The sequence below is a fragment of the Homo sapiens genome, chromosome 8 (assembly GCF_000001405.40).
Source record: "Homo sapiens chromosome 8, GRCh38.p14 Primary Assembly".
NCBI lineage: Eukaryota > Metazoa > Chordata > Mammalia > Primates > Hominidae > Homo > Homo sapiens.
The window spans coordinates 124,269,635-124,273,546 of record NC_000008.11 but is presented as its reverse complement, the minus strand read 5'-3'; the positions used below and the strand labels follow the sequence as shown (position 1 = coordinate 124,273,546).

General features: G+C 44.4%; 1 annotated feature.

Moving 5' to 3' along the window:
- Positions 1,231-2,430: an enhancer, noted in NCBI's record as "P300/CBP strongly-dependent group 1 enhancer chr8:125283358-125284557 (GRCh37/hg19 assembly coordinates)". NCBI's record gives its function as "activates an origin of replication core promoter dependent on BRD2, BRD4, P300/CBP, MED14 and CDK7 cofactors, with strong dependence on P300/CBP, by STARR-seq in HCT116 cells {active_cell/tissue: HCT116}" and the evidence as "EXISTENCE:reporter gene assay evidence [ECO:0000049][PMID:35650434]".

The following is a 3,912-nucleotide window of genomic DNA, read 5'->3' as shown; positions in this document are numbered from 1 at the left end:
CAGCCTGGGCGACAGAGCGAGACTCAGTCTCAAAAACCAAACCAAACCAAAACAAAAAAAAAGCAGGAAAGAGACACTGAACCGGGGCAGCCAGTCTAATGTTTCCCTGGAACCCAGATGAAAAGTTTCCCTTTGGGAATCAAATTGGGAAAATCCACACCTGGAGGTTAGGAGCAAACCAAGCAATCATCTGTGGATGAGGCTCTAGAGGGCTTGGAACCACAAGAACTTGTACTCAGGCACGACAGGGAGTAATCCCAAGGGGACAAAACAGAATCTTTGGAATCTATTCACTTGTACTTTATAGTGTAGTGAAGGAGTATATGAATCGAAAGTGAGAGACAGGCTGGGGAACAGAAGAAAAAAAACCTGGAAGTGCCAGGAGCAGGCTGAGCCTTTCAAATTCCATCCTGCAGCATGTCTGCTGCGCCATGGATGCCACTCTCCCTATTCTTGGGTTGGTATATCCTGTTATGTATCCACCTGCAAGCACTCCAACTTGGCATCCCCAGTCATCAAGCAAGCTCTGGTTGTAATTTTGACGTCTAGGTATTTGGTGTACAGGGAAAGACGGTTGGTTGACATTTTTTACCCCATTTTACCCCATTTTTACCCCTCTGGATGTTTAGTGATGTTATTTATTTATTTATTTTGAGGTAGAGTCTTGCCCTGTCACCCAGGCTGGAGTGCAGCTGGTTGACAGTTCTACTCCTCTCCTCTAACAAACAGGCCTCGTGACCTATATAGATCAGTCCTAGGAAGTGGTGCGTGCCCCGTAGGCACCGAGGAAGGTTCTTTCCTCTGACACCCTCCTGATCTCGACCTTTGGCAGTATGATCTTGCACTGGCTCATCTATGGAAGGTCTAAGGAAGAAGACAATCATTGTTACTAACTCAATAAATCTGTAGGTACTTATTGGTTTCCAACGAAAAGTGGCAATCTGGGGAGAACAATGTCATTAAGTGGAAAAAATGAAAGGGGCAAGGTTATTATAAGTATTATAAGGTGATGCTCGTACATGGACAGAAAGGAGGAACATCAAAATCTCAAGTAGCACCTAATCCCTTCCATTCCCAGAGACGACTGCATAAGTCAGGTCGTTTTATCCCTACTGTGCAATTACGAACATCCAGAGTGGACGTGATCTGATCCAAGGAGCTGCAGCATTTATCTAATATTCACCAGAGTCTTTTTCTTTCCTTGTTGACTTTTACTGTTTTTCTCATTGAAGGAAAACACTTCACTTAGAAATGCCAGTGAATCAATAATATTTATAAAGGGCATTTTAGTTGCTCAGCATGAGGCCGGGAGGGTAATGAATCATACAAGACATAGTTTCTGCCAGGGCCGCTTTGTACAGCTGCGCAGATTGTGCACTGCACAGCCCTAGTGTGTGCTCTTTACATTGTTCCATGCACTTGTCCCCTCCCCCCAGGGGTTGCTCAGTGCAACGTGTGGGATATGGGGGACCTGTGCACATCCAGGAGGCTGATGATGAGGAGTTTGGATGTGAAGTTACAGCTACATTGTGGAGCCCCCCACAGTGCCTCTGATGTGAAACACTTTGCTCAGTGTGGGAACTGGGACTGGAAACTGTGAATTCCTTTTGTGGGAGGCTTGGTGCCTATTCATGAGAGACAAGTTCCTGTGAAGGGACTGGAAATGAAGGTGCAGAAGGCTCCTAGCCATGGGAAGAAGCTGGGATGGGAATAAGCAGAAAGTGCTCCTGCCTTACCTTTAGGCGTCAGGGGTCTCTTCAGGGAAAATAATGGACCAGAAGAAAAGAGTGCTCTCCAGAGCTGTGGCTCTTCCCTCCCTGCCACTGTTGAATGGCCCCTTAAATGTAGCTGGCCGGTAATGGAATCTCTAAAGCCACCATAAAATGAGTCAGCGTGTTTTATCTCAACTCGTGAGTTGATGTCATAGATGAGTCTGGATGTTGGGAAAAATAAATAGACTGTCTTAGTCATCGGGGCTGCCGTGATGGAATATCACAGACTGGGTGGCTTAAACAACAGAACTTAATTTTCTTACAGTTCTGGAGACTGGAAAACCAAAGTCAAAGTGTTAGCAGCTTTGCTATCTACTGAGGCCTCTCTCGGCGTCTCCCTGTGTCCTCTCGTGGTCTCTGGGCACATGCATCCCTGGTATCTCTCTGTGTCCAAATTTTCTTTTCTCATAAGGACACCAGTGAAATGGAATTAGGTCCCACTCTAACGGCCTCATTTTAACTGAATCGCCTCTTTCAGGACCTGATCTCCAAATACGATCACATTTTGAGGTACTGGGGTTTAGGGCTTCAGCATATGAATTTGGGGGAGATATAATTCAGCCTATAACATAGACCACCAGAAGTATAGTAGGGGAAAGGAAGCTTGTGCTATAAGAGAGGAGGAACGACACAGGGTCCATATTGAAATTGCAAGGCTGCTGGTCCCAGAGGGCTGTGGTTCTAAGGCAGTACCAGTTCCAGAGGCCACACACGTGGTAATATATGAATACAGTATGCACCATCTTTAGCGGTGTAGAGAGTTAAATTGAGTTGACATGTTTAGCCAGGGATAAATGTTTAAACTGAGTTTGTTGTAACCTTCCTGTTTCTATCTGGTTCTTCTCGTATGTGTAAAAATAACAATAGTAATGAATGTTTATTACATTGATTTATTAAGTGCTAGAACTACTATGCTAGAAGTTTATACAGCACACATTGCCTTCCTCAATCTGTACCACCCTTTCGGGTGGGTCTTAACTGAAATCCAGGACCCAAAGGCAAACTGAAAGTAGGTGTCGGCTCCAGGAATTGGATCTAGCCTGGCTTACTCCATGGCCTGTGCCTGTAACCACTGGGCTGTGGTAAAGGCAGAAAGGCTTGGAAAGCACCACCTGGGGTTGAAATCTCAGCTTAGCTAGTAGCCAGGAAGCCCATCCTTGCCTCTGGCTGTTCACTTCTATGTTAGAGAAGGGACTCTGGTGGATATAGATTCCAAGGAAGCCGTGTAGGGCACTATATAGCTCCCTAAACTCCCTAAGGAAGGATTGTATTTGAATGAGTTTAAGTGTATCTCTGCCTCTAGACAGCATTGGGTGGTAGTGTTGGTGGGAGGGAGATGGATTGGTGCCTCTTCTCTGATTCTATATTCAATTTCCTTGTCCAGAAAAATTGGATTACTCAAGAGGTTGAGAAAGAGAACATTGGTAATAAAGTTCAAGGAGATGGATTGTACTCAGATGTTCAATCTTTTCGATTCCAGGAAACTGATTACATTCTGCCTCTTTGACAGTGAGGGATGGCTGAGGAACTAAGAATTTCAGCCCCATTCCCAAAGGATGGCTTTTCATGTGTCTAAACAAACTCAAGAGTGATTACTAATTAACCTCGTTCTCTAGAGTCTGCCAAGAGGCCAACTATAGTGGCTTTCTAGAACCCAAAGTCATAGTCTGGAAATGCTGGTGACCCTTTATGAGAGGAAAGCTCCATCCTTAGGACTGTTGATTTCCACTTCAGAGAAGCTCAGAAACATAACACGAAGGGTAGTTTCTGGCCTCTAGTAGGAGGTGTTATTTACATATTTTTAAAAATGAAGATCAAATAAATGTATCTAGTAACGAGATTGATGACTCTTTGAAGACTCAAGGAATTGCGTCACCTCGATGATTTGTAACTCACGTATTTAACAGCAAAAATCAGTTGAAACGTGCTAAGCACTTTCACCTAGTATATTAGGGAAATAACTGATCTTCTGACCAGGAGATCTAGCTCCAGCTCTACTCTTTCCTGATCTGCTTATCTCAGTTTATAGCAGGCAGTCAACAGACACGTGTGGCCTGAATGGATAATCCAATGGGTTAAGGGCGAGACCTTGAGTAAGTCATTGTATTCATCTGCCTCAGTTTTCTCTAATCAAACTCTG